General features: G+C 42.5%; 1 protein-coding gene and 1 pseudogene across 3 annotated transcripts in view; one reads left to right on the top strand and one right to left on the bottom strand.

The window, feature by feature from the left end:
- UPF2 (UPF2 regulator of nonsense mediated mRNA decay) overlaps nucleotides 1-21,765 on the top strand; it is a 123,149-nt gene extending 101,384 nt beyond the window's left edge. For 2 of the 3 annotated variants that reach the window (NM_080599.3, NM_015542.4), the window contains exons 19-22: nucleotides 5,075-5,242; nucleotides 10,005-10,146; nucleotides 11,802-11,922; nucleotides 20,480-21,765. In NM_080599.3, the coding sequence (NP_542166.1) occupies nucleotides 5,075-5,242; nucleotides 10,005-10,146; nucleotides 11,802-11,922; nucleotides 20,480-20,489 (441 nt within the window). In that variant the 3' untranslated portion in view covers nucleotides 20,490-21,765. Of the gene's footprint in view, nucleotides 1-5,074; nucleotides 5,243-10,004; nucleotides 10,147-11,801; nucleotides 12,002-20,479 lie in introns of those variants that run through there. The other variant, XM_047424986.1, reaches the window with a different exon arrangement.
- Nucleotides 18,499-18,606, bottom strand: RNU6-1095P (RNA, U6 small nuclear 1095, pseudogene; annotated as a pseudogene).

The following is a 26,488-nucleotide window of genomic DNA, read 5'->3' as shown; positions in this document are numbered from 1 at the left end:
GCCCTATATGTACTTGTTGTTAACCCTTTGGTGACGTGACGAGTGGGTTTGTTCGAATGGCAGGATGCAGGCCCCACTGGGGTGGGTTTGGTGGAGAATGGGAAGGGAGGGAGTGAAGATACTACATATAGATAAGTCTTGAGGAGTTTTGCCAGAAAGGGAAGAGAAACGGGGAGGTAGCTAGAGAAGGTCGTAGAGTTAAAAGACAGGGTTTTTTTTTTTAAAGGTAGAAGATATTATGGAATCTTTATATGCTCATGGAGCAGTCCTTTAGAGTTGAAATATTGGATTTTACTTTCCTTGATGCTGCTACAGCCAAAGGTATGATCAAGTACAAATTAGTGTTATAGGTGTCTTAGGTGATCTTCTTTCTTTATATATTAAAATAACATGTCTTCATATATCCAGAAAGCTCCTAATTTATGAAATAAATCTTACATTTATGTTATTTAGGAGCGCAAGCAATCAAATAAAACATAATCATTATAATCCCTTGGAGGAGAGAATAGTTTACTTCTCTGAGAAACTTCCCATCTTATATAAATCAGTAGCCATTTACTCAGCCACTCATTTCTTTAGCAGATATGTTTATTGGGTACCTATTGTGTGCTTAACAGTGTGCATCGGGCTAAGTATAAAGTGATAAATACAACTGAGGTGGTTCCTGTTCTAACAGAAGGTAGATATTTAACAACTAAACAAATATATCATTTCAAATTGTGATAAATGCTAAGAGCAGAATGCTTTGGTAGAGATTAAGGGAAGGGCATTCCTAGATAGGATAGTGGGGAAGAAGTCTCTGAGGTCATGAATTTCAAACAGGGCAAAGTAAAGTGGAGCCATCCATCCAGGTGAAAATTTAAGGGAAGATGGGAACAATGTGTCAAATGTCTTGAGGGAGAAAAGAACCTGTATTTAAAAAACTAAAAGGCGGCCAGCACTAATAGAGGGCGGGGCACAATCCTGTGTGGGAGGGCAGAGGTACCCACCAGGGCAAGGCTAAAAGCAGGGAGCCTGGACAGAAGGCTTTTGTAGTGATTCAGGTGAGAGATGACAGTCAGCTGTCTAGCATATGGCAAGGCACATGGAGAGAAGTCTGGATTTGAGCTATTTCGGAGGTAGAACGACCTGGCTTATTTGGCGCTGGATTGGATATGGGTGTGTAGGGGGTGAGGCATCAAAGATGATAGTTGGTTTTCCAGATTGGGCCACTGGCTAATCTCTGGGACAGGAAACAAGGGACCAATGAGCAAAAGTTTCCCTTTGGCCGTGTCCACTTGAGAAGCCTTTGAGGTGTCCAAGTGGAAATGTATGGAGATCAGAAGGTTACGTGGAGTGAAAACAGAAATGTGATGGGTAGAGTATATTGAAAGCATCGGAACAAATGATTCATCCCCGGTGTAAAGTGTGGACAGAGAAGAGAAGCAGGGTCAGGATTGAGCCCTGAAGAACCTTAACATTTAGAAATAAGGTAGAAAAGCTGATGAAGTCAAAGGAATAGAAGTTTTTGATATGGTCCAATAATTTTTGCTTATTGACAGTTCTTGAAGAAGCAAGCTGGAAGGATGGGAAGATGTAATCGAGGAGGGAAGTTCGAATTCACATTTTTGCAGGAGATGTGCTTTTTGTGCTGGAGAAAAACTTAATTCTATATTAGGCCCTAGTTTTTCAGCATTATCAAAATACTGAACAACTGTACAGAGTCTCTTTGTTTTGATGAGAATGTCATAGGAGGATGCAGTATCCTAGAGATATTATTTTTCCATAAATCAAGCCCTTAAACTTAGTATAATCCTAATTATATCACACCAGGAAGATGTTTTGTTTTGTTTTTCCAAGGGAAAGAGAAGAGCAGGGAGATCAATGCAGAATGAATTTAAAATTATTTCTTAAAACATCTGTAAGAATAAGCAAAATAGCTAACAGATTTTCAGGAAATGAGTGAAATGCTCTACAAGATATGAAAACATGGCTGGGCACTGTGGCTCACACCTGTAATCCCAGCACTTTGGGAGGCCGAGGCGGGTGGATCACCTGAGGTCAGGAGTTCAAGACCAGCCTGGCCAACATGGTGAAACCCTGTCTCTACTAAAAATACAAAAAAATTAGCCAGGCATGGTGGCAGGCGCCTGTAATCCCAGCTACTCAGGAGGCTGAGTCAGGAGAATCACTTGAACCTGGGAGGTGGAGGTTGCAGTGAGCCGAGATCACGCCATTGCACTCCAGCCGGGGGAGACAAGAGCGAGACTTCGTCTTAAAAAAAAAAAAAGATAAAACATTTTAAACTGACAATAATAGTTTGATACAGGAACAGATTAATGAAATGGAGAAGAATCCAAAATAGACCCAAAACATGACCGTTTAGTAATATGATGAAGATAACGTTGCAAATCAGTTAAGGGAAAACAGACAATAAACAAAAATAAAGTTGACGTTCTGTTTTATTTCCACAGCAGAATTAATTGCAAATCTATCAAACACTCCAATAATTATGAAGACTGTTGGGCCCTGCATCAAGTGCTTTACATCTATTCTTTGCATAGTGCTGTCAGATACTGTTAGTATTCCTTTGCTTTAGCTAAAGAAACAGAGGCTTGGAAAGACAAGAAACTTGCTGGCCAGGCACAGTGGCTCAATGCCTGTAATCCCATCACTTTGGGAGGCCGAGGTGGGAGGATCACGAGGTCAGGAGATCGAGACCCTCCTAGCTAACACGGTGAAACCCCGTCTCCAGTAAATACAAAAAATTAGCTGGTTGTGGTGGTGGGTGCCTGTAGTCCCAGCTACTTGGGAGGCTGAGACAGGATAATCGCTTGAACCCAGGAGGCAGAGGTTTCAGTGAGCTGAGACTGTGCCACTGCACAGTCTCTCTGCATGGGGGGGACAGAGTGAGACTCCGTCTCCAAAAAAAAAAAAAAAAAAAAAAAAAAAAACAAAAAAAAAACTTGCTTAAGACCACATGGCTAGGACGTGGTGGAGTTTGTTCTCAACTGTTTTACTGTGTTGCCTTCTAGCACAGGATGCTATAAGAAACTTGAAGAAATGACAGGCCAGGAAGAAAATATTTATGGTCTACACAAAGGCCTAATACTTTTACTATAGCAAATCAATGAGAAATGATGAATGATCTAGTTTTTTTTTTTATTGTGTGAAAGGTAATGGCAAAATCATGCCAAAGGTCATGAGTAATAAAATAGTATGCAAATTAAGATGAGCCTTTTCACTTATCAGACCATCAGATATTGGGATTTACTAAGTGATAATATCCAGTGTGGTTTTGTTTGAGTAATGGTTTGGTTTGTAAATGTCTATCAGTCCAGCTTTTTTAGAGGGAAATTCAGTAAACCTGTCGAATGGGCTTGCCAGTTGATCTAAAAATTTACCCCTAGTAAGTAATTCTCTTTATAAAGCTAAATATACAAAGATGTCACATTGTGATAGAAAAGTCCTTCCATGTGTGGGAAGGATCATTTAAAAAAAAAATTGTCTGTCAATAATTAAATAATAAGGGCATATCAATGTAATTAGCTCTGTATATACTCAAAGAGAAAGATAACCAAGATATAGGATTAAACAGAAGAAAAAATATGTATGTTGAGTGTACAGCAATATGCATTGTGGTTGCTTGTGTCTATATGTATATATTATTAGTATATGCAAGAAAAAATCCAAAAGAACATACTGCATTGTTAATAGTTGAAAAAATCCGAAAGAACATACTCCATTGTTAATAGTTGTTGCATCTTGGGGTTGGGGCAGTGGGAAGTCGCTGGAGGAGTTAGTATGGACATACTTACCAACACATTTTTGTATTTAAATATTTTATGAAAAGAATATGTTAATTTTATAATCAAGGAGAAAAATCAAGATTTGTCTATTGTGATCCTTTTGAATTTTAAGTAAAAAGTCTTTATAAATCTTACGAACCTGGGAAGACTTCAAGCAGATTATGATAAACTAGAGCTTAAAAAAGAAACAATAAAACAGGATTTTGCTTGATTTGCAAGTCTCTTGAATATATGGAGCCTATATCAGAAGACTATTTAAATGGTGGTAGAGCAGTTTCTAAGACATTGAGGGCCTTTCAGCATGACCTGCCTACCTTCCTGGAACATTCAGCTCGTCCCTCTTTGCTGCTCATTCATCAGTCATGTGTTTGCAGTTCCCTAAGTGTACCATGCTGGTCCATGTCCTTGCTTTGCACCTGTTCTTCCCCTGCCTCGATTCCCTCCGCATTCCCCAAACTGCTCTTTTACCATCTGCTTAGAAGAAGTTTATGAAGTCTTTAACATTCTCAAATGTGCCATTTCTATTCAGCCTTTCGTGAAGGGCACGCAACCACTCTCAGCCAGGTACAGGTAGTCACTTCATCTCCTCCACAGGTGCTGTACACCTATGATGTATCATCATCATTGTTTCTGTATCTGTCTTAACAAGCTTATGAGCTCTTTGAGTGTAGAGGCTAAGTATTTTTAACATTACTATCTCCAAGCCTGTAACACATGGCAAGTCTTCGGTGAAGGTTCATTTAATTAATTGGTTGGAAAATTCAGTGTAAATGCTAAAAATAATTGATATTACCAACCAAGGAATTAATACAAATGGTCATAGATTCCATTCATTCTTCAGTACTCCCTGAACTCCTGCTGTGGGTAACGCCCTGCTGGGGAGCCCTGGAGAAAGGGATGCAGTGATGAGCCCACCTTGCCTGGTGATTATGAAGGAAGATGTGATCTAGGAGGATGAATAGAAGGGTGTAGTGTATTTGAGGAGCAGGGGGATTTGGTAGAACCCGCAGCACTGCGTGCTTGGGAGAGGCTGGAGCAGTCAACAGCAGCCAAGTCCTGCATTTCCTTCCATGTCATAGGCAGAGGTGTTAGGTGGAGGGAGAAATACTCCCTAGATTTATCCACGTTTCAGAAAGAGTATTATGGTGGTTGTAATTGTTGACTGTTATGGCTCTTATGATTGTTGTGTTTTAAGAAATACAGCATTGAATGAGTTTGCAATTTATATTGACATATATCCGTATATATCTTGGAGTGTTTATTATGTCCTTTTTAATTTCTTTTAGCAACGAAGTGGTGAATCTGTTAAAGTGCACCAACTAGATGTTGCCATTCCTTTGCATCTCAAAAGCCAGCTGAGGAAAGGGCCCCCACTGGGAGGTGGGGAAGGAGAGGCTGAGTCTGCAGACACAATGCCGTTTGTCATGTTAACAAGAAAAGGCAATAAACAGCAGGTAAGAAACTGCCCGCCCTGTAATTATAGCTGATTGTGAGTTATACAGTTAGGTTTTAACTTATCTTTGACCTACAAGGGGATAAGGGTTGGACAGTTTTAAACCATTCAGTGGTAGAATAATTTCTTCCCTTATATAGTTTTTTTTGTTTTTGTTTTTGTTTTTGTTTTTGTTTTTTTTGAGACGGCGTCTCACTTTGTCGCCCAGGCTGGAGTGGCAGGGTCTTGGCTCACTGCAACCTCCTCCTCCCAGGTTCAAACGATTCTTCTGCCTCAGCCTCCTGAGTAGCTGGGATTACAGGCGTCCACCATGACGCCCGGCTAATTTTTGTATTTTTAGTAGAGACAAGGTTTCACCATGTTGGCCAGGCTGGTCTGGAACTCCTGACCTCAGGTGATCTGCCCATCTCGGCCTCCCAAAGTGCTTGGATTATAGGCGTGAGCAACTGCACTTGGCCCCTTATGTGTTTTAAATCATACATGTTTGTAAGAATATGTAAGTACCTTGACTTCTAGCACAAACTTCCACAAGCAAGCCCCAGGCGGGGAAGGAAAGGAGGATGGCAACCGATGCAGCTCAGGAAGAGGCTCGGCTGCCGTCAGTTGAAAATCACACCAACCCTTCTCCATATCCCTCTCCATTCTTCTTGTTTGCCCTTTCCCCCTTCATACAAGATGGTCCCTCAAAACCGTTTCCCCCTCTACCAAGCTGTTACTCTAGCGATCCATAGTTGATTTGTCAACTATTGAGCATCACTACGTGCCAGGTACTATTCTATTTCAGGTCCTGAGGCTACAGTGATAAACAGAACAATGTTCCTGCCCTTGTGGAACTTATCTCCTACTGAGAGAGCAGAGAGACAAACGCACATATTTGCAGATAGTGAAACATGGTATGAAGAGAATATAGGCCAGCTTTCAGATACACCTTTAGGTGTATTTAGGTCAATTCTGTAAAAATTTGTTTACATCTTAACATTTCTGAGATCAAGTTGCTTCTTAGAGTCCATGAAATCCTGTGTTAACTGACAGCATTTCTTTCTGCTTTAGTGATAAGTAAAATAATGGTGTATCTTAGAATTAATAGAATGTTAGATTTTGTTGCATATGGTAGCTGCCACAGTTATCTTAGACAAGTCCAATACCACATTCGTCTACACAGTCATTTAACAAGTATTTATTATTTACCTGCTACACACCAGGCACTTCTGTGTGCAGAATATAGAGGCAGTTAGCCAGAGTCCTTCCTCTCTTGCGAGCTTTCATTCTGGTGTTGGGAGGCATATGAGAAATACACCAAGTCACGTTGGGATGGCTACCAAGGAGGATAAAGCAGGGTAAGAGGATAGAAAGAGACACGGATGGTGAGATGCCAGGAGAGGGAGGCTGCCTCTTAGGTAGGATGATCAGGGAAGACCCTACAATAAGTTGCATCTGAGATGTCCTCCCCACTAGCACAGCCTCAAACAGATGATGCCTAAATTTTATCCCTGCATTTGTCAGGCAACTTCTCATGTACACCGAGATCAAAATTGTGCACTATACTTGTGCAGTATACAAGTGATATACTTGTACAGCATGAAAGTGATATACTTGAGCAGTATACTACTTGTTGCTGCAGTGATACCACCTATATACCAATTAGAATTGTGGTGTGTGGCCGGGCATAGTGGCTCACACCTGTAATCCCAGCACTTTGGGAGGCCAAGGCGGGCGGATCACAAGGTCAGGGATTCAAGACCAGCCTGACCAACATAGTGAAACCCCGTCTCTACTAAAAATACAAAAATTAGCCAGGCTTGGTGGCGTGTGCCTGTAATCCCAGCTACTCAGGAGGCTGAGGCAGGAGAATCACTTGAACCCAGGAGGTGGAGGTTGTAGTGAGCCAAGATCACACCATTGTACTCCAGCCTGGGCGACAGAACGAGACTCCGTCTCAAAAAAAGAAATAAATAAATAAAATAATCATGGAGTGTGGAGCTGGCAAAGACTTCACGGCATGACTCATGTATTGAGAGTTAACTTTGACAGGATCAGAGCATTGCTGAATCTTCCTCAGACACTGCCATCGTCCGGCCTTGCCTCCAGTCCAGGCTCCAGCCAGGCCTCCTGGTGCTTTCAGGAGAGCCACACCCCTCCCCTCCTTCGACCAGGGTTGGGCTCTGGCACATCCCCATTCCTTTACTCTCCATTCTCTATCTGTGAGGAAAATGAGAGCTTTTTAAAAAATCAGGCCCTAAATTTGGCATTGTCCTGAGATCTTTGCTAAGACTGCTGTCCTCAGAGCACCTGGAAATGCTAATTCACCACTGTTACGAGGATTCACAAATCCCAGCATTTTTGCTTTTCTAGGGACTATTTAATTCTCTGAACCAGACTTTACTATTTCAGTTATCACGTTTTAGATCTCCTTCATTCTCTTTCTCTTTAAAAACTCTTAGCTTCCTCCTCCATTCCCCCCATCACCGGCTTTCTTGGCACACAGTTTCTAAAGGTAATTAGGCTGTAAAGTTGGAAGGCATGCACACATGCACATATCTGTCTGTTGAATTGTGGAGGGCAGTACATGGCAGCTTCAGCTAGATATACCTTGGTCTCCATTCCTGCACAGCTGCTAGATAATGCTGTTACATTGGCACAGGAAGGCCATGATTTTTGTTAACTAAAAGAGAGTTTAGGAATATCTCTTTTTGAAGGTCAGATTGTACAACAGTAAATAATGAGTTTTTTTCCTTCCTCCCTTTCATGAAGTACATGAATATTCATTAACACCTTTGTCAACTCTACACCCCATCTGGCCCTTATAGAACGTGTAGGAATTGAAAATAAATTAATCAATGCCTACTTAAAAGAAACTTGTGGGCTTTGGAAAATAAGTATACTCCAGCAGTCTGAAATTCTAAATTGTATGGGTCAAAATAAGATTATGTGTATTTTAGAAGGAATATTTTTGGTTCAAAGTAGGTAGATTATAAACCGGGTGGCTTATGTAATTTTATGTAAATGAATTTGAAGTCCTTGTTTCTTAAAATGTAGCATTTAGTTTAAATTTTAATTTTTAAGGATATATTATTACTAAATTTTAAAAATATTAGCAGACATGAAATGAAAACTCAGAGTACTTGGTTATTAAGTAAATTTTCAGTGCTTCTAAACTTTATTTGGAATTTTGGAAAATATTCAGTTTTTTGGAACATTATTTGAAGAAACATCGCTGGTATGTTGTGGTCTGAAAAAGAAAGTAGATTTTGTTCTGATTTTTATTCCTTTATTTGGCTTTTGGGTGTTGGCCCTTCTGGTGCAACGGTTTTTCTACAAATGTGAAATGTCTTGCCTTATAGGAATCTTTGGATTTTAAGTGAAAGACCTCTTTGTGCATCAAATTTGTACTCAGAAATAACTTTCTGTTGTGGTCATTAGGGGAAAAAACATTGCACCAATGAAGTGAGTAGTTGCAGAGAAAGAAAAAGATAATGCTTTTAGCCATTTATTTTTTTCTAGATTTAAATATTTCTGAATTAGAATAATAAATGTCAATTAAAACAAGTTTTAATGTAATATAAATGTTATAAAATGCTTTAAAAAGCTTTTTTATTCAAACAAATGCATAACATAGTATAGTTTAATACTGGCAGACAAACCATTTTTGCAATTAATATTTATATAAGGAGTTATTTGTTGTATTTTGACTAGAATAATTGATAGTTACATGTCATAGTAACTTGGGATTGTATGTTTTTTAATTTTAGCTACAGTCATGGAGTAGCTGCAAAATATCAGCTAAATCACCTTCATTGCTATTATGTTCAGGAAATTTAGTTTGAGTGACTTCAATATTTTTATCATCTAATTTGCTATAAAGTAGTGTGTCTCTGTTAATAGTATCTTAGCAGCTCTGCAGTAAAGGCAGTAGGCAAAGGTGGCCATCAGTAAATTTGTCTCTTCATTTCCCCGTATTTATTACTGTCTCTTTTATGTTTTTTTTAAGTACATAATACTTGAGAACTTTGCCTTTTGTAAAACTTGTCTCAGAGTTCATAAAATGTGTTTTTGTTCATCTTTTATTTATAATTGTTTCCCTTTAGAAGATCTAAACGAAGAAATTGTTAATCTTATACGTGAATAAGAAAGCCTATATTTCTCACCTTTTTTGATCACATTACGAAATTTTCTTTATAATGTTTTATACTATTTTATTATTGTGATTAGTACCATCATCATTAGGCTTATTAGTAGATTATGAAGGAAATTTCAAATTTTATCATCAGGAACCTAAAAAGGGGGAAAAATGGCCACCCTGTTTTATTTCTGAGTGTTTAGATAAAAACATCTTAGAGTTGCAACTTCCAGTTCATGATGATTAAGAAATTATCTATCTACCTTTTTTTTTTTTAATTGAGTTGGAGTCTTGCTCTTTTGCCCAGGCTGGAGTGCAGTGGCACAATCTCGGCTCACTGCAACCTCCGCTTCCTGGGTTCAAGCAGTTCTCCTGCCTCAGCCTCCCGGGTAGCTGGGGCTACAAGTGCATGCCACCACACCCAGCTAATTTTTGTGTTTTTAGTAAAGACGGGGTTTCATCATGTTGGCCTGGATGGTCTTGATCTCTTGACCTCGTGATCCGCCCGCCTCGGCCTCCCAAAGTGCTGGGATTACAGGCGTGAGCCACCGTGCCCAGCCTGTACTTGCTATTTTATTTGAAGTCTGTTTTTTCTTTCTCTCAGTGTTCTCAAACTATTTGTAACTCCTTTGTTATTTTCTCCCAGTTTAAGATCCTTAATGTACCCATGTCCTCTCAACTTGCTGCAAATCACTGGAACCAGCAACAGGCAGAACAAGAAGAGAGGATGAGAATGAAAAAGCTCACACTAGATATCAATGAACGGCAAGAACAAGAAGATTATCAAGGTATAAAATCATCTATAAGAGAAGTGGAAATTTTTGTTGCCTTTTGAGCATCAAAATTGTTATTTTGTCTCATCTTCTCATGTCATATTTTTCCATATTTATGCTGAGAAATTCATTTTGTATCCCACTGTTTTTCTTTCACTTATTTGTAAAATAACAATAATATAATTTTCACCATATTTTGCTCTAATTAAATTAGAGTATAAACTGCTAAGCTACGTTTGCAAGCAAGGTGATAATCAATTTTTAATTGCTTCACATTGCCAGCCAGTTGTGTGCAGATTCATTTAACAAACAGTATGCCTTGCTTAATGACAGGGATGCATTCTAAAAAATGTGACATTAGGCAATTTCATCATTGTGCAAACATCATAGAGTGTACTTGACAAACCTAGATGGTGTAGCCTACTACACACTGAGGCTGTATGGTGTAGCTGTTATGAACTGATGGGACCACCATTGTATAGGTGTCTGTCATTGTCTGGAACATGGTCACGCGGCACACGACTGTATTTACCTCCTTTTGTCTACTTGGAGTCCTGGTCTTGAGGAAGCTGTGTTCCTTCAGATTTGAGGAAATACTCAAATTAGGATTCTCATTTTATGCATACATACCCAGCATTTTTCAGTTAGTTGGAACCTTACACATCGAGTCCATGGAGACTTCATAGGCTAGCGTTTTGGTGTTCCTGTGGTATGCAGATTTTACAGCCGTAATAGTTGTTTCTACAGCACTGTACTGAATGAATAAACCGCCATCTGTGCAGGAGAGTGTGTGTAAATCAGTATTTGTGGTTTCCAATCTTTTAATCTCACTTGTAGAATGTTCTCTCCCAGTCGATACCCAACAGTGTTTTTGTTTGTTTTAAGAGCCTTCCTCTGTCACCCAGGCTGGATGGAGTGCAGTGGCGCAATCACTGCAGCCTCAAACTCCTGGGCTCAAGTGATCCTTCTGCCTCTGCCTCAGCCCCCAAGTAGCTAAGATTACAGACATGTGCCACCATACCTGGCTAATTTTTAATTTTTTGTAGAGAGGGGATCTTGCTATGTTGCCCAAGCTCATCTTGAACTCCTGAGCTTGAGCAGTCCTCCCGCCTCTGCATCCCAAAGTGGTAGGGTTACAGACATGAGCCGCCACACCCGGCTCCAACATTCTTAATGATAATAGCTAACACTGGGTGCTTACTCTTTGGCCAGACACTGTTTTATGTACTTTTTCAAAGCATATAATCCTCATAACAATTCTTTGAGATAAGTGTTGTTGTTATCTGCATTTTACATTGAGGGAAATTGAACCTAAAGTCTCACAGCTAGAAAGTGACAGAGCTGGGATATTAACCAGTAGTCTCGCTCTACACACGATGCTCTTAGCTATTGCAATGCACTGCCTCTTAGGCTTTTCTACTGCCTCATAATATAGCTATGTGGTGGCTAGATTCATAGTAAAGGGAACATTGGGTATTAAAAGAGTCTCCTCTCTTGATAATGCTCTTTTAAAACTTCTTAATCATTTTAGTCTGTATAATGGCTATTTTTCTTTAGTCAGCTCCCTGACAGGACTAATAAACTTAATCTCCCCAACATTTCGTTCACTCTGTAGGAGGAGTACATTTCTAAGAGTTAACAGCATTCTCTTTTTTTGCTCCTAATTACAGAAATGTTGCAGTCTCTTGCACAGCGCCCAGCTCCAGCAAACACCAATCGTGAGAGGCGGCCTCGCTACCAACATCCGAAGGGAGCACCTAATGCAGATCTAATCTTTAAGACTGGTGGGAGGTAAAGCAGTCATTACTCCTTCCTTAGCTGTTTGTTTCCATGATGTCCATAAGAATAAATTAGGGAATTCTGGATTATAGTTTTTGGCAAAGGCCCGATTTTTAGCAAAATAGAAAAGTCTTTGATATTTTAGCAAAATAGAAAAGTAGATATTTGAGGGGGAAAAACCTGCTTTATACCATAGTATGGCTGTTCTGTTTTTTTTATTTTTATTTTTATTTTTTGAGACAAGGTCTTGCTCTGTCGTCCAGGCTGAAGTGCAGTGGCACAATCGCAACTCACTCACTACAGCCTCACCCTCCTGGGCTCAAGTGATCCTCCCACATCAGCCTCCCAAGTAGCTGGGACTATAGGCATGCACCACCATACCTGGCTAATTTGTATGTCTTTTGTAGAGACAGAGTCTCGCCATATTGTGTAGGCTAGTCTCGAACTCCTGAGCTCAAGCCATCTGCCCACGTGGCTGTTCTTACAAAGACATTGGTTTCAGCTAGATCTTGGCTTTTGTCCTGTCTGAGTGGACTTCTTTTTTCTTCTTTTGCTTTAATAGGAAGGAGTTGTTATAGATGAGCAAGAGAGAGACATCATAGGCTTTGTGTTAGAATTTCTCAGGTCAGGGTTAATTAATATCGATGTTTACAAAAACTAAAAATCTATTTTCTAGACTTTTAACCATGCAAGTAGAGTTTGTTCCTAAGCTCTTACTTATTTATTTTTTGAGACACAGTCTTGCTCTGTCGCCCAGGCTGGAGTGCAGTGGCGTGATCTCGGCTCACTGCAACCTCTGTCTCCTGGTTCAAGCGATTCTCCAGCCTCAACCTCCCGAGTAGCTGGGACAATAGGGCATGCCACCGCATCTGGCTAATTTTTGTATTTTTAGTAGAGACAGGGTTTCACCATGTTGGCCAGGCTGGTCTCGAACTCCTCACCTCAGGTGATTGCCCGCCTTGGCCTCCCAAAGTGCTGGGATTACAGGCGTGAGCCACCATGCCCGGCCTGTTTTTTTAAATTATAAAATTTCCTGATGGAATTCCTACCAGTTCCACTTAAAGTTAAATTGTTTAATGTGAGATAATTTAAAACTCTATAAAGAATTTGAAAATGAAGATGTTCCCTAATAAGACCTCTTTTATGGTTTTTAGTTTTTTTTTTTTCTGAGGCGGAGTCTGGCTCTGTCGCCCAGGCTGGAATGCAGTGGCGCCATCTCTGCTCACTGCAAGCTCTGCCTCCCGGGTTCACGCCATTCTCCTGCCTCAGCCTCCCGAGTAGCTGGGACCACAGGCGCCCGCCACCAGGCCCGGCTAATTTTTAGTATTTTTAGTAGAGACGGGGTTTCACCGTGTTAGCCAGGATGGTCTCGATCTCCTGACCTCGTGATCCGCCCGCCTCGGCCTCCCAAAGTGTTGGGATTACAGGCGTGAGCCACTGCGCCCGGCCTCTTTTATGTTTTTTAAGGGTAAGTAATTTAAAGTGTTTCTGGGACATGATCTAAAGACCCATATCATCAACTAATTTTGTTCTTTTTTTTGAGACCGAATCTCACTCTGTCACCCAGGCTGGAGTGCAGCAGCGTGATCTTGGCTCTCTGCAACCTCTACCTCCCGGGTTCAAGTGATGCTCCTGCCTCAGCCTCCCAAGTAGTTGGTATTACAGGTGCCCACCCAGCACGCCTGGATAATTTTTGTGTTTTTAGTAGAGATGGGGTTTCACCATGTTGGCCAGGCTGGTCTCGAACTCCTAACCTCAGGTGGTCCACCCACCTCAATTAATTTTGTCTTGCGGTTAAGTTAAAGGGACAGTGGCTTCTGCTGCCCTTACTGATCTCACTTAGTGGATTAGTGTTTAAACCGAGGCTCTACAACAGCCCAAGATGTCACTTTGTTGTTGGGAGCAGGGGAGCAGGTGTAGATGGGGAGTGTGCTGGGGCTGGCAGAATTAGATCATGATTCAGGAGGGTAGCATGGGGGAAAATGTAGTCATCAGAGCCTGTGTCTGTTACTCACTGGACATCACTGAACATATTCATGTGTTCTGGTGGCATCTTTGAACTATTTGCTCAGATAACTCTAATCAAATTGTAATGTAGAAAACTGGCTTGTCAAGACAGTTTAGAGATCTGTTCTTTAGCATCTGTTGAGTATAATTTAAAAAAAAAATCCAAGTTGGAAATGACCTGTAAACCCATCTAATTAGGCACAATAAGATATTAGGTTATTTTTAATTATCCAAACTTTATTAAAGTCCTTTAATTAAGCCTGTTTTATTGCTGCTAAAATGTGGACACTAGCTAGGTTAACAGGCAATGAAAAATGTTCATTTCCTGCTTTTGCATTTTCTTAGAGTAGCTTTAAATATATGCCACAGTGTTCTTGATAACATCTATTCCCTCCTGTCTCATCATCAGAGACCAAAACTGTTAGAATATTTGTATTTCGGTTGGTAAAAAGTAATGCGGTTTTTGCCAATAAAAGTAATGGGAAAAACTGCAATTACTTTTGCACCAGCATAATATCTTGATGTTTTCCATCATCTTCACCTGTTCATATTGCAGCCTAACGTCTCTGAATAGCACGTTTTTATTAATCCCTAACCCCCTCACAATTCATGTATCGCAAGTATAGTGTCTTAGTAATTTGTGTAGACTCACTATGGAGTTGGATGACATAAGGGGCATCCAGTAGGATTTGCCTCCCTCCGTGTACACTCATCCAGGACTGCACTGTGGAAGATGGAGTACAAGACAGGGTCTTTACCTGCACGGTTGTGGTCCAGTAGGGAAGCCGAGTATGGGTACTTGAAAGATAATTCCACCCTCTTCATTTGTCTGTTTCAAAAACCTTGGGTGAGAGTCTGTTAAGGACCAGGCAGGAGATATGTAAGCATGTGTGTGCTGTCATCGACGTGAGCATGTGTGTGCTGTCATCGACGTGCGTGTGAACAGAGGTAAGCCTTTCTTAACCTGGTTACCGGTGTTAGTCACTTTGCAGAGTTCCTTCACTTTCTATTTTCCCTTCCTCCCTCCAATTCCTCCTTGGAAGAATCGGCTACACTTGCCCCTTCTTCCTTGCTCCCACTTGGGTGGCTTACCCCTGCCAAGTCACAGCTGGCAGTGGGAGGCATTGCCCACCCCAGTGGCTATGCTAGAAAAGAGGTTCATTATTGACTCCTGTCACCTTCTCAGTCCCTAGGTCTAGGCAGCTTCTGCCATCACTGGCATCCCCACCTGCCATCTCTTGGCCTCATCTCAGCAGCACTTTGCATTGTAGGCCCTCCTTGTTCTCCCAACAGACCCTTCCTTGGCATCTGTGATTCTGCTGGCTTCTGGGTTTTCCCTTCCCGCGATCACTGTGGCTCCTGCTGCTGACACTGCCTCCTTTCTGCGCTTCCCTGCCTAGGGATGTCTGTGTTCCTTGGGCTCAGCCTGGGCCCTCTTCTCCTTCTGCACTCTCAAAGGAGGTGTCATCCCTCCCAGTGGCCTGACTTCCATCCAGGTCTCCAGCCCAGATCTCACATTTTCATTTCTGACTTTCCACCCCACTGTGACTCAGAGATGGAAGACTCGTGCCCCTGCCCCAGACTCCTCTTCCCCAGGGTCTCCAGTGCAGGGAGAGGAAGCGTTGTCTGCCCTCTTGTCCACAAAAGAAAAGGAAGTTGTGTTATTGACAGCTCCTCCTCCCTCAATCCCTAAATGTAGTTCATTAGCAAATCCTCTGCATTCTGCTCCCAAATGGCCCTCACTCTTGCCTTTTCTATTCTCTGCCCATAGCCAAGACCATGGGTCAAGCCACCATCACCTCTTGCCTGGATTGCTGTTGCTGCCTCAGCCTCCTCATCAGCCTCTCCGTCTCAACCTTCAACCCTTTCCAATTCATTCTCCCGCTATAGACCCAGTGTTCTTTCTAAAACACAAATTTGATATCTGTGTGTGCCCTTCTGCTTAAAATCATCCAATGGCTCCTCGTGGCTTGTAGGATAAAAAGTCTAAACTCCTCAACTTGGTTCCCAAGGCCCTGTGGTGCAGGTGGACATACATTACTGGCTTCATCTCCTGCTGTTCTTTCTCCTGCTGCAGCCTAGCTGACCTTTAGTTCTGTGTTCTTTTTGCCTCCTCTGTGTGGAACAGTCTCCAGCTGTTCCCCTGGAGAACTCCTGCTCCTTCGGGTCCTGCCTTGGTGTTCCTGAGTCTGACATAGGTCAGTGCGGATCTGCTGCCATGACTTATGGTATTTCTGCAGACCTTGTCCTCCTTAAGTGCCGCTTAGCTTGTCTCTATTCCCCATGAGATTACAGGCGATGAGGGCTGGGACCAAGTCTCATGTTGTTTCCATTCTGTCTCCTTCACAGCTCTTGGTGCCTGGCACCTAGTAGGTGCTCAGTAAATATTTGGTGAATGGACAAAAGAACTTTTCACAGTCTGTGTTCAGTCACTGAATAAACGTTCTCATTCCAGTTCTGCTCCCTAGCTCTTCCCTCTGTTTTTCTTTTTTGTAAGAGTCCTAGCTTTTGAGCTAGCCACTCAACCTGTTTTAAGATCTTTTCTTAAAATAGCACCTTAAAAAAAGAAAACCTAACTTGTCCATCAGTCTTAAGAATAGCACTCTGTAAAGTATCACGAATGGAATTTTTATAGTCAATGCTCCTAAAGTATAGGTGCGATAAACATGGTAGATGAACAAACATGGAAACATGAGATTTTACCCTTTAGAGGACCAGATGTTCTTTGCCTTTTTTAAAATTTACATTTTAAGGCTGGTTGTGATGGCTCATACCTGTATCCCAGCACTTTGGGGGGCCGAGGAAGGCAGATCACCTGAGGTCAGGAGTTCGAGACCAGCCTGACCAACATGGTGAAACCCCGTCTCTACTAAAATTAGAAAAATTAGCCGGTCATGGTGGCGGGCACCTATAATCCCAGCTACTCGGGAGTCTGAGGCAGGAGAATCACTCGAACCTGGGAGGTGAGGTTGCAGTGAGCCAAGATTGCGCCATTGCACTCCAGCCTGGGCAACAAGAGCGAAACTCTATTAAAAAAAATCAGTTATTAATATTAGTAATGTTATACAGCAGATAAAGGGAAATTTATTTGGAAACTGATTATAAAGTAGTTTAGGTCTAGGAGCAGTGGCTCACGCCTGTAATCTCAGCACTTTGGGAGGTCGAGGTGGAAGGATCGCTTGAGCCCAGGAGGCAGAGACTGCCAGATCACACCACTGCACTCCAGGTTGGGCGACAGAGCCAGACCCTGTCTCAAAAAAAAAAGTAGTTTAAAAAAAAGATTTTTTTTTTTGAGACGACATGTTGCTCTGTTACCCAGGCTGGAGTGCAGTGACACAATCTCAGTTCAGTGCACCCTCCACCTCCTGGGTTCAAGTGATTCTTCTGTTAGCCTCCCGAGTGGCTGGGATTACAGGTATGCAGTCCACCACTCTTGACTAATTTTTGTATTTTTAATAGAGACATGGTTTCGCCATGTTGGCCAGGCTGGTCTTGAACTCCTGACCTCAGGTGATCTGCCTGCCTGGACCTCCCAAAGTGCTGGGATTATAGGTGTCAGCCACCACGCCCGGCATAAACTATTTTTCTCCTGTAGCTTTTGATGGACTCCCAGATTTTAATTTGTATTTGTATATTTTCTAACCAGGAGATCCTTGAAATAAGGACATAAATTAAAATTTCAGCCCTTTAACAAATAAGAGGCATTTGCTTACAATGAGTTGAAACGGCAGCAGTGCTGTAAGTAAAACTATTATGTAGGGTTTTCTGTATTGCAGAACAAGGTTGTTTTTCTAATACACTAGTATTGAAAATCTGTGAAACTTAACATTTTTGGCAAGTGTTAATACTTACATGGCTTAGATGGTACTAATTCATATGGGTTATTTCAATGCTTCTCAAACTTTAAAATACGTATTAACTCTCTAGACTCTTACTAAAAAGCAAGTTCTGATTAGTTTCTTTTATTATTATTTTTTAATTATTGTGGAAAGCTTCACGAATTTGTGTGTCATTCTTTTTTGTTGTTTTTTGAGATGGAGTCTTGTTCTGTTGCCCAGGCTGGAGTGCAGTGCCGGGATCTCGGCTCACTGCAACCTCTGCCTCCCGAGTTCAAGCAATTCTTGTGCCTCAGCCTCCCAAGTAGCTGTGATTACAGGCATGTGCCACCACGCCCAGCTAATTTTTTTTTTTTTTTTTTTGAGATGGGGTCTCGCTATATCGGAGTGCAGTGGCGTGATCTCTGCTCACTGCAACCTCCGCCTCCCGGGTTCAAGCAATTCTCTGCCTCAGCCTCCCGAGTAGCTGGGATTACAGGCACCTGCCACCACACCTGGCTAATTTTTGTATTTCTAGTAGAGACGGGGTTTCACCATCTTGGCCAGGCTGGTCTTGAACTCCTGACCTCATGATCCACCCTCCTCGGCCTCCCAAAGTGCTGGGATTACAGGCATGAGCCACCGCGCCCAGCCAAATTTTTGTATTTTTAGTAGAGATGAGGTCTCACCATGTTGGCCAGGCTGGTCTCCAAAACTCCTGACCTCAAGTGATCTGCCTGCGTTAGCCTCCCAAAGTGCTGAGGGTACAGGCGTGAGCCACTGCACCCCACCTGCATGTCATCCTTGCACAGGGCCATGCTAGTCTTCTCTGTATCACTACAATTTTTAGTATATGTGCTGCTGAAGTGAGCACAACAAGCTCTGGTTACTTTTAAACAAGATCTCCAGTGATGTCAAAACTGCTGGTGTGTGGCCTACACTTAGCGGCATAGGAGTATACTATCTGACTTTTAAACCCATCTTTTTAAAAATGATTTTGTTGTTGTTTTATTTTGTTTTTGAGACAGGTTCTTGCTCTGTCACCCAGGCTGGAGTACAGTGGCGTGATCACAGGTCACCGCAGCCTCGACCTCCTGGGCTCAAGCAGTCCTGCCTCAGCCTCTCAGTATCTGGGACTATAGGCACACACCACTACAAATGGCTAATTTTTTTTATTTTTAGTGGAGTCGAGGTCTCACTATGTTGCCCAGGCTGATATTGAACTCTTGTAAACCTATCTTAAGTAGAGTCTGCATTTTTTCATCAGATTTTTTTTTTATATATCTTTATGTAAGGTTAAATTAGTGATAGTTTTGTTATACAATAGAGTCCATTGTAGAATTGCATTTAATCCAAAGTGTATATTGTATTAATAAACAGTTTTTGAGCTGATAGATTTTTGAGTCACTCAGAATGATTGTTTGCTTATAAACCAGTCAAATGACACCTTACACTATAACTAGTGATATAACTATACCTTACTTAGCAAAGATTTTGAACATTTTTTTCCTGTCATTTACTGCATTTATTTAAAGTATTCTAGGTTAGATAGCTGCCTTTTCTTGACTTCAGGAGAGATGCTTGAATCTTCTCTTTCATTCCCTCAGGGAATACTTGTGTTCTTTCCATCAGTTCATTTCTGGAAGAGTTACGGATCTTATCCAGCTGAGGATATACTTTTCCATATTTGCATCTTAACGCTTTGAAAGTTTCTTGCTAAGGTAGCTTGCTCTGTAAGAAACAAACTGTTCATCTGCTTGGGCTGCCATGACAAAATATTACAGCCCTAGTAGCTTAAACGACAGATGTCTGTTGTCTCGCAGCACTGGAGGCCGCCGGCAGGAAACCTGAGGTCAGGGAGTCAGCGGGGCTGGTTCCTTCTGAGGCCTGGAGGAAGACTGCTCCAGGCCTGCCTTCTACTGCTGGGGGTGCCGGCAGTCTTTGGCTTCCATACCTTGTCATACCTCACCCTGGTCTCCGCCTTTGTCTTCACGTGGCCTTTTCCCCCTGTGTGTGTCTGTGTGCAAATTTCCCTTTTTATAGAGATGCAGTCATATGGGATTAGGGCTCCACCCTGCTCCAGTATGGCCTTATCTGAAGTAATTACGTCTACAGCAACCTTGTTTCCAAATACGGTCACATTCTGAGGTCCTGCAGTTCAGTGTTAACATGTGAATTTTGGGGATACACAACTGAACCATAACACAAACTGTGAATTCTTAGCACCTTAAGAATAAGTTGTAGAAGAGAACAGAGCCACTCCTCCAGCCATTGCTCCAATGGCTCTGGTTAAGTTGTAGCTCAGTAGAGAGCATGAATGCTCTCAAAAAAGCACTACAGTTGTCCTCGGTATCCACAGGGGGTTGCTTCCTGGATCCCCTCAGACACCAAAATGCACAGACATTCAAGTCCCTGGTAAAAAATGGTGTAGCATTTATGTATAACATATGCACATCCTCCCGTGTACTTTACATCATCTCTACATTACTTGTAATACCTAATAAAGTGTAGATGCTATGGAGATAGTTGATATACTGTATTGTTTTTAATATTTATGTTATTTTTTATTGTTTGGGTTTTTTTCCCCCGAATATTTTTGGTCCATGGATGTGGAACCCGCAGATGCCAGGGCCACCTGTAACTTGGGGGAGTGACTTGGTGGTGGTGGGTAGCGTTGCAGACGCCATCTTGCTGGACTTTGTCCTGTGGCAGTAAGCTCTCTGATGTGACCCTGTTTGTTCCTTTAGGAGACGTTGATCCAGCAGCACGTGTCATTTCATTAGGTCCTGTATCTGATGTTGTGGTTAGTGGAGTCCTCCAGCAATTGAATGAGAGCAGTGGACACATCTCAGCAGGTCGGTCTAGAGAGTTGCGAATCTAAACCTGGGACAGGCTGGGGCCAGGAGGCAGAAACACCAGCCTCTGCCAACACCGGAACAAGCCGACGCTTCCAGACAAGGCGGAAAAGGCCTTTTGTAATGGAAATCTCGCGAGGGTTAATCTTCTCTTGAGAATGGCAGTCAAGAAATGAGATGGTTCACTTGACTACTGAGCAGTTACACCAAGGAGAGCGTGAAGGAGATGATTGAGCCAGAGAAGAAACGGGTTGTGATGGTAATGGTGTGGGGGAAATGAACTTGAGCTTTAAACTTGATTTGAGTTTCAGTGTCTCTGAATTGAACATCCCACGTTGGAAGAAGATACATTTGGGGGCTCCAGGACTACAGTAGAAAAGTATAGAGCAAGCAGGAAAATCTTCTAGTAAAACTTACATGCAGGACAACAAAATGATGAAAGATATCCAAATACCAGATAATCCACCAGGAAGGCTTTTGTTTAGGAATTTGTTTCAAGAGGAACAAGGGATGAGGGAGAAAAATCCGTTTTATCCATCAGAGTCAGTGCTATAAAATTGCCTATTAAGGTAAAAGAAAAATGTGGAGACTATTTTACTATACAGAGAGCATTAATTCAGATGGCTTAGAAAAGTGATACCAGCCCAAGAACAGGGATCTAGGTGAGCCCATTGTAAGTATCATTGAAAACAAAACATGCCCGTCAACATGTCACAGAAAACGAACGAAGGACAACAAGAAGTGGATGAGAATATTTTGTTGACCTTCATGGGTTTACAGCCTCTGTCTCTAAACAAAGTATGGAAACAAGTAGAGCTTTTATTTTGCTTTTGTTTTTGTTTTGTTTTTTTTTTTGTTTTCCCCCACTAAATAGAAATGAGGGTCCTTAGTCTGTTTCTGACAATCTGTTAATTTCTTAGGACAGCTGTCTTTGGTTTGCTTTCCAGCAGGCGTAGTATATTTAGTCGGAGAGCACATCTGTATGCGACAACTTGATTACATCTTTTTTTCTAGCTATTTTGCATTTTTTCTTTTACCATGTTTCAGTTTCTGCATGTAGATTTAAATAAAAAACAAAACTTGTAAAGTTGTAACATTTCACATGGAAATGCTGCCCAATCTTCACCAGCTTCAGAAATCTGACCTTTGCCGATGCTGCAATAAAGTGTTGTAATTTAGATTTGGCGTGGTGTTGTTTTGTTGGGTTTGGGTTTTGGAAACCGATTGAACGGGTAAATTGGTATCTCCCAGCGTCATCTTTGTGCTTTAAAAATACATTCTCGGCCGGGTGCGGCGGCTCACGCCTGTAATCCCAGCACTTTGGGAGGCCGAGGTGGGCGGATCACGAGGTCAGAAGATCGAGACCATCCTGGCTAACACAATGAAACACCATCTGTACTAAAAATACAAAAAATTAGCCGGGCGCGGTGGTGGACACCTATAGTCCCAGCTACTCGGGAGGCTGAGGCAGGCGAATGGCGTGAACCCGGGAGGCGGAGCTTGCAGTGAGCCGAGATCGCGCCACTGCACTCCGGCCTGGGCGAAAGAGCCAGACTCCGTCTCAAAAAAAACAAAAATACATTCTCAGACGACTAGTGTTGTGTTCACCTTAAGGATTCCATCTCTGCATGACTTTTCTTAGGTGCCGGAGTTAATGTACCTTTGGGGCTAATGAAAAAAAAAGTAGCCTACACAGACCAATAGAATGCACATTTTTAGAAGAGGCCAAATACTGATGAAGATGGGAAATGGTACAGCGTGGTTCAGCCTGGGGCAGTGTTTGTGATTTATGTGGGCAGAGCCTCTGCAAAGCAGGTAACTCACAAAGGAACAGCAGGAACCACTCTTGGTCATCTCTTGCCAGGTGTTAATTTTAAGGCTGATTTACACACTCCAAACGGAGTTACTGTAATCACCATTGCTAAAATTTCAAAAATTGAGCTGAGAGTTCTTATCATTTGGAAAAAAACAAGGATTTATTAAAGAAAGAACCTTCCAGATCTCACTTACCGGAAGTTTATCATCCAGCCCTTATCACCATCTTCATCACTGACTTGTGTACTGTTACTCACTGTCCTTTTGTTGGGTTTACAAGTTTATCATTTTTATATTATTTCTAGGTGTCAGATTATTTATTACAGGGAGCCAGGATCATTCTAAATTCACCCTTTAAATTTCATGTCATACACAAGGCAGACAATGTGAAAATCAGGTGCATGGTGATGATTTACCTTTATTCACCTTTCATCTAGAAAGAATAAAGTCACTAGCAGGTGTAATATGTTGGGGAACCAGAAAGTGGGCCAAATTAGATTCTTCACAACATTGCATCTTCAGTTTGAAAGGACAAGCCCCCTGAATTTTGGAAATGTTTATGATTCTCATAACTGTCAGTCTTTTGGGCCTCCTTTTTCCCCCTTGTGATCAGGAGAGGTAAGCAGGTGTTAACACATCTGGCTGTCAGACTTCTTCCTTTGAGACTTTGATTCTTTTTGGGGGAGTGATAAGCTGGAAAGGCATCCCGGCAGCCTCAGGATCTGTCTCAAGGTCAGTCCCCTTAATTCCCTATGGGAGCCTCACAGGCCCTTGGACACTCTGCGTTTACATACAGCTACTGCAGACCTGAGGTGTGCAAAACCAAGCAGCCTGACGGAGGGTGCAGAAAGTGCACAGTGGCTAGGAGAGCGCGAAGCAAGGATCGTGATGAGAAAACAAAAACCCAAACAGAAGCCAGGCACAAACACACAAAAGAGCAAAAACCGGAGAAGCTCAGTATGGTCTTAACCCCAGAGCATACAGAAGATTCGCATTGGAAGAAACACTCATTTTATAGTCAAGGAATCATGCTGAGAGGTGTGTTAATGCCATTCAGTACAGTAGAATCAGTAATTGATGGTTTCAGGATTTTTATAATGAGCAGAAATATTAGTAACTTCATTATAGGAAGGAATACAGTTGACGCTTGAACACTGGTGGTTAGGGTTTATGACCCCCCGTGCAGTCAGAAATTCACAAAGAACTTTTTTTTTTGAGATGGAGTCTCACTCTGTCCCCAGGATGGAGTGCAGTGGTACGATCTCGGCTCACTGCAACCTCCGCCTGGTGGGTTCAAGAGATTCTCCAGCCTCAGCCTCCCAAGTAGCTGGGATAACAGGTGCCTGCCACCTCATCTGGCTAATTTTTGTATTTTTAGTAGAGATGGGGTTTCACCATGTTGGCCAGGCTGGTCTCAAACTCCTGACCTTAGGTGATCCACCTGCCTCGGCCTCTCAAAGTGCTGGGCTCACAGGCATGAGCCACTGCGCCCGGCCTGCATGTAACTTTTGACTCCCCACAGACTTTACAAATATAGCCTGGTGTTGACTGGAAGCCTTGGCAATATCATAAGTAGTCAGTTAACATGTTTTGTATGTTATATGTATTATGTATTTTATTCTTACAATAAAGTGAGCTAAGGATAATGTTATTAAGAAAATCATGGGCCAGGTATGGTGGCTTATGCTTATGATCCCAGCATTTTGGAGGCTGCGGTGGGAAGATCACTTGAGCCATGGAGCTTGTGGCTGCAATGAACAGAGATTGTGCCACTGCACTCCAGCCTGGGCAACTGAGTGAGACCCTGTCTCTAAATAAATACATAAATAAATACATAAATAAATAAATAAGAAAACCATAAGGAAGGGAAAATATATTTACTATTAAGTGGAAGTGGATCGTCATAAAAGTCTTCATCCTCGTCTTCACGTTGAGTAGGTGAGGAGGAGGAGTTGGTCTTGCTGTCTCAGGGGTGGTAGAGGTGGAAGAAAATCCATGTGTAAGTGGGCCCATGCAGTTCAAACCTGTGCTATTCAAGAGTCAACTGTAGTCCTGGAGTAGTGAGACCTACAGTAGAGAGGTGAGACCGCAGATTTCCTGACTCCACCCATGTCATGTAATATCTTCATGATACTCAGAGTGAAAAACTCAAGATATTCTTTGGAAAAGGCAGAGATGCAACATGTCTCAGGTTCCTTTCTAAAATTGTTTTCAAGTTTTTACATATTCAGAGGTAAACTTTCAGCTACTGGGAGCCCAATGTGTCTTGTAGGTTTTTTTGTTTTTGTTTTTTTTGAGTCAAGAGTCTCACTCTGTTGCCCAGGCTGCAGTGCAGTGGCATGATGCCGCTCACTGCAACCTCCCCGTCCCAGGCTCAAGTGATTCTCCCTCCTCAGCCTCCCAAATAGCTAGGATTATAGGTGTGCACCGCCATGCCCGGCTAATTTTTGTATTTTTAATAGAGATGGGGTTTTTCCATGTTGGCCAGGCTGATCTCCTAACCTCAAGTGCTCTGCCTGCCTTGGCCTCCCAAAGTGCTGGGATTACAGGCGTGAGCCACTGCGCCTACCACCCAATGTGTTTCTTAGTTGCAAATGGAAGGTATCGAAATAGCAACTTCTTGTTTGTTTGTTTGTTTGTTTGTTTGTTTGAGACCGAGTCTCACTCTGTTGCCCAGGCTGGAGTGCAGTGGCTGATCTCGGCTCACTGCAGCCTCCACCTCTTGGGTTCAAGCGATTCTCCTGCCTCACTCTCCCGAGTAGCTGGGATTACAGGTGCCCACTACCACACCTGGCTAGTTTTTGTATTTTTAGTAGAGCTGGGGTTTCACCATGTTGGCCAGGCTGGTCTTGAGCTTCTGACCTCAAGTGATCCACCCGCCTTGGTGTCTCAAAGTGCTTGGATTGCAGGCGTGAGCCACCGCACCCGGCCAGATTTAAACTTGTATATGAATACTTGGAGACCCAGGGAAAACAGAGATTCATTGGACAGATAGCTATTGATCTCACTCTATGTGCTAAGGCACTGTTGTAAGCCCTGGGGATAGAGGTGGAGGGATAGTCACTGCCCTGGAGGAACTAACATCCTTCCAGCAGGGGAGACAGACAGAAATGTGAACAATTCAGTGAATTTAAGCCATGGTATCTGTGAAGTGCTTAGAGCAAGGCTTGGCACGTAGGAAGGATTCCTTCAGTGGCCGCTGCTGTAATTACACCTTTGCGTGTGCTGTTTCCTAGGCTCATGCCCTCTAGCCTTTTTTTTTTTTTCTGAGACGGAGTCTTGCCCTGTCGTCCAGGCTGGAGTGCAGTAGTGCGATCTCGGCTCACTGCAGCCTCTGCCTCCCGGGTTCAAGTGATTCTCCTGCCTCAGCCTCCCGAGTAGCTGGGATTACAGGCATGCACCACCACTTCCAAGTAATTTTGTATTTTTAGTAGAGGCAGGGTTTCTCCATGTTGGTCAGGCTGGTCTCGAATTCCTGACCTCAGGTCATCCATCTGCCTCAGCCTCCCAGAGTGCTAAGATTACAGGCATGAACCACTGCGCCCGGCCGACACACACGACTTTCAACAACTACGCTTTATTGGGCATAGAAACGTACCTGAACAGTAGTGGGAACCATGGGAATGCCACTCTTCAGGGAATATGGCCTTGCCAAGCAGAGAGAGAATGTTCCCACCTCCCCAGAGACCACTGAACACTTAAATTCAGGCACAAACCTTTTATTCTCTCATTAATGTTTCTTCTGTATGCTCTTCCCTCCCAAAGTTGGGAGGCCATTTGAATATCAAGGAGAAATATGTAGTATTCCCAGTTTATATGATTCTTTCATCCAAAAAGTATCATGGCAGCTTCTGAGCCCTGCAATGTGCCTAGACAGGAACTGGCCTGGGTCAAACCACCCCAGGTGTTAGTTTCTGAGATACATTGTGGATGGCGGTCAGGACAAACAAAATCCAAGGTGCCCTTTGGAAAAGATGGGAATTCTATTTTTTTTTTTTTTTTTTTTTTTTTTGAGATGGAGTTTTGCCGCCAGGCTGGAGTGCAGTGGCGCAATCTCAGCTCACTGCAACCTCTGCCTCCCAGATT

The sequence above is a fragment of the Homo sapiens genome, chromosome 10 (assembly GCF_000001405.40).
Source record: "Homo sapiens chromosome 10, GRCh38.p14 Primary Assembly".
NCBI lineage: Eukaryota > Metazoa > Chordata > Mammalia > Primates > Hominidae > Homo > Homo sapiens.
The sequence above is the reverse complement of the archived record's forward strand: the minus strand, read 5'-3'. Positions and strand labels throughout refer to the sequence as shown.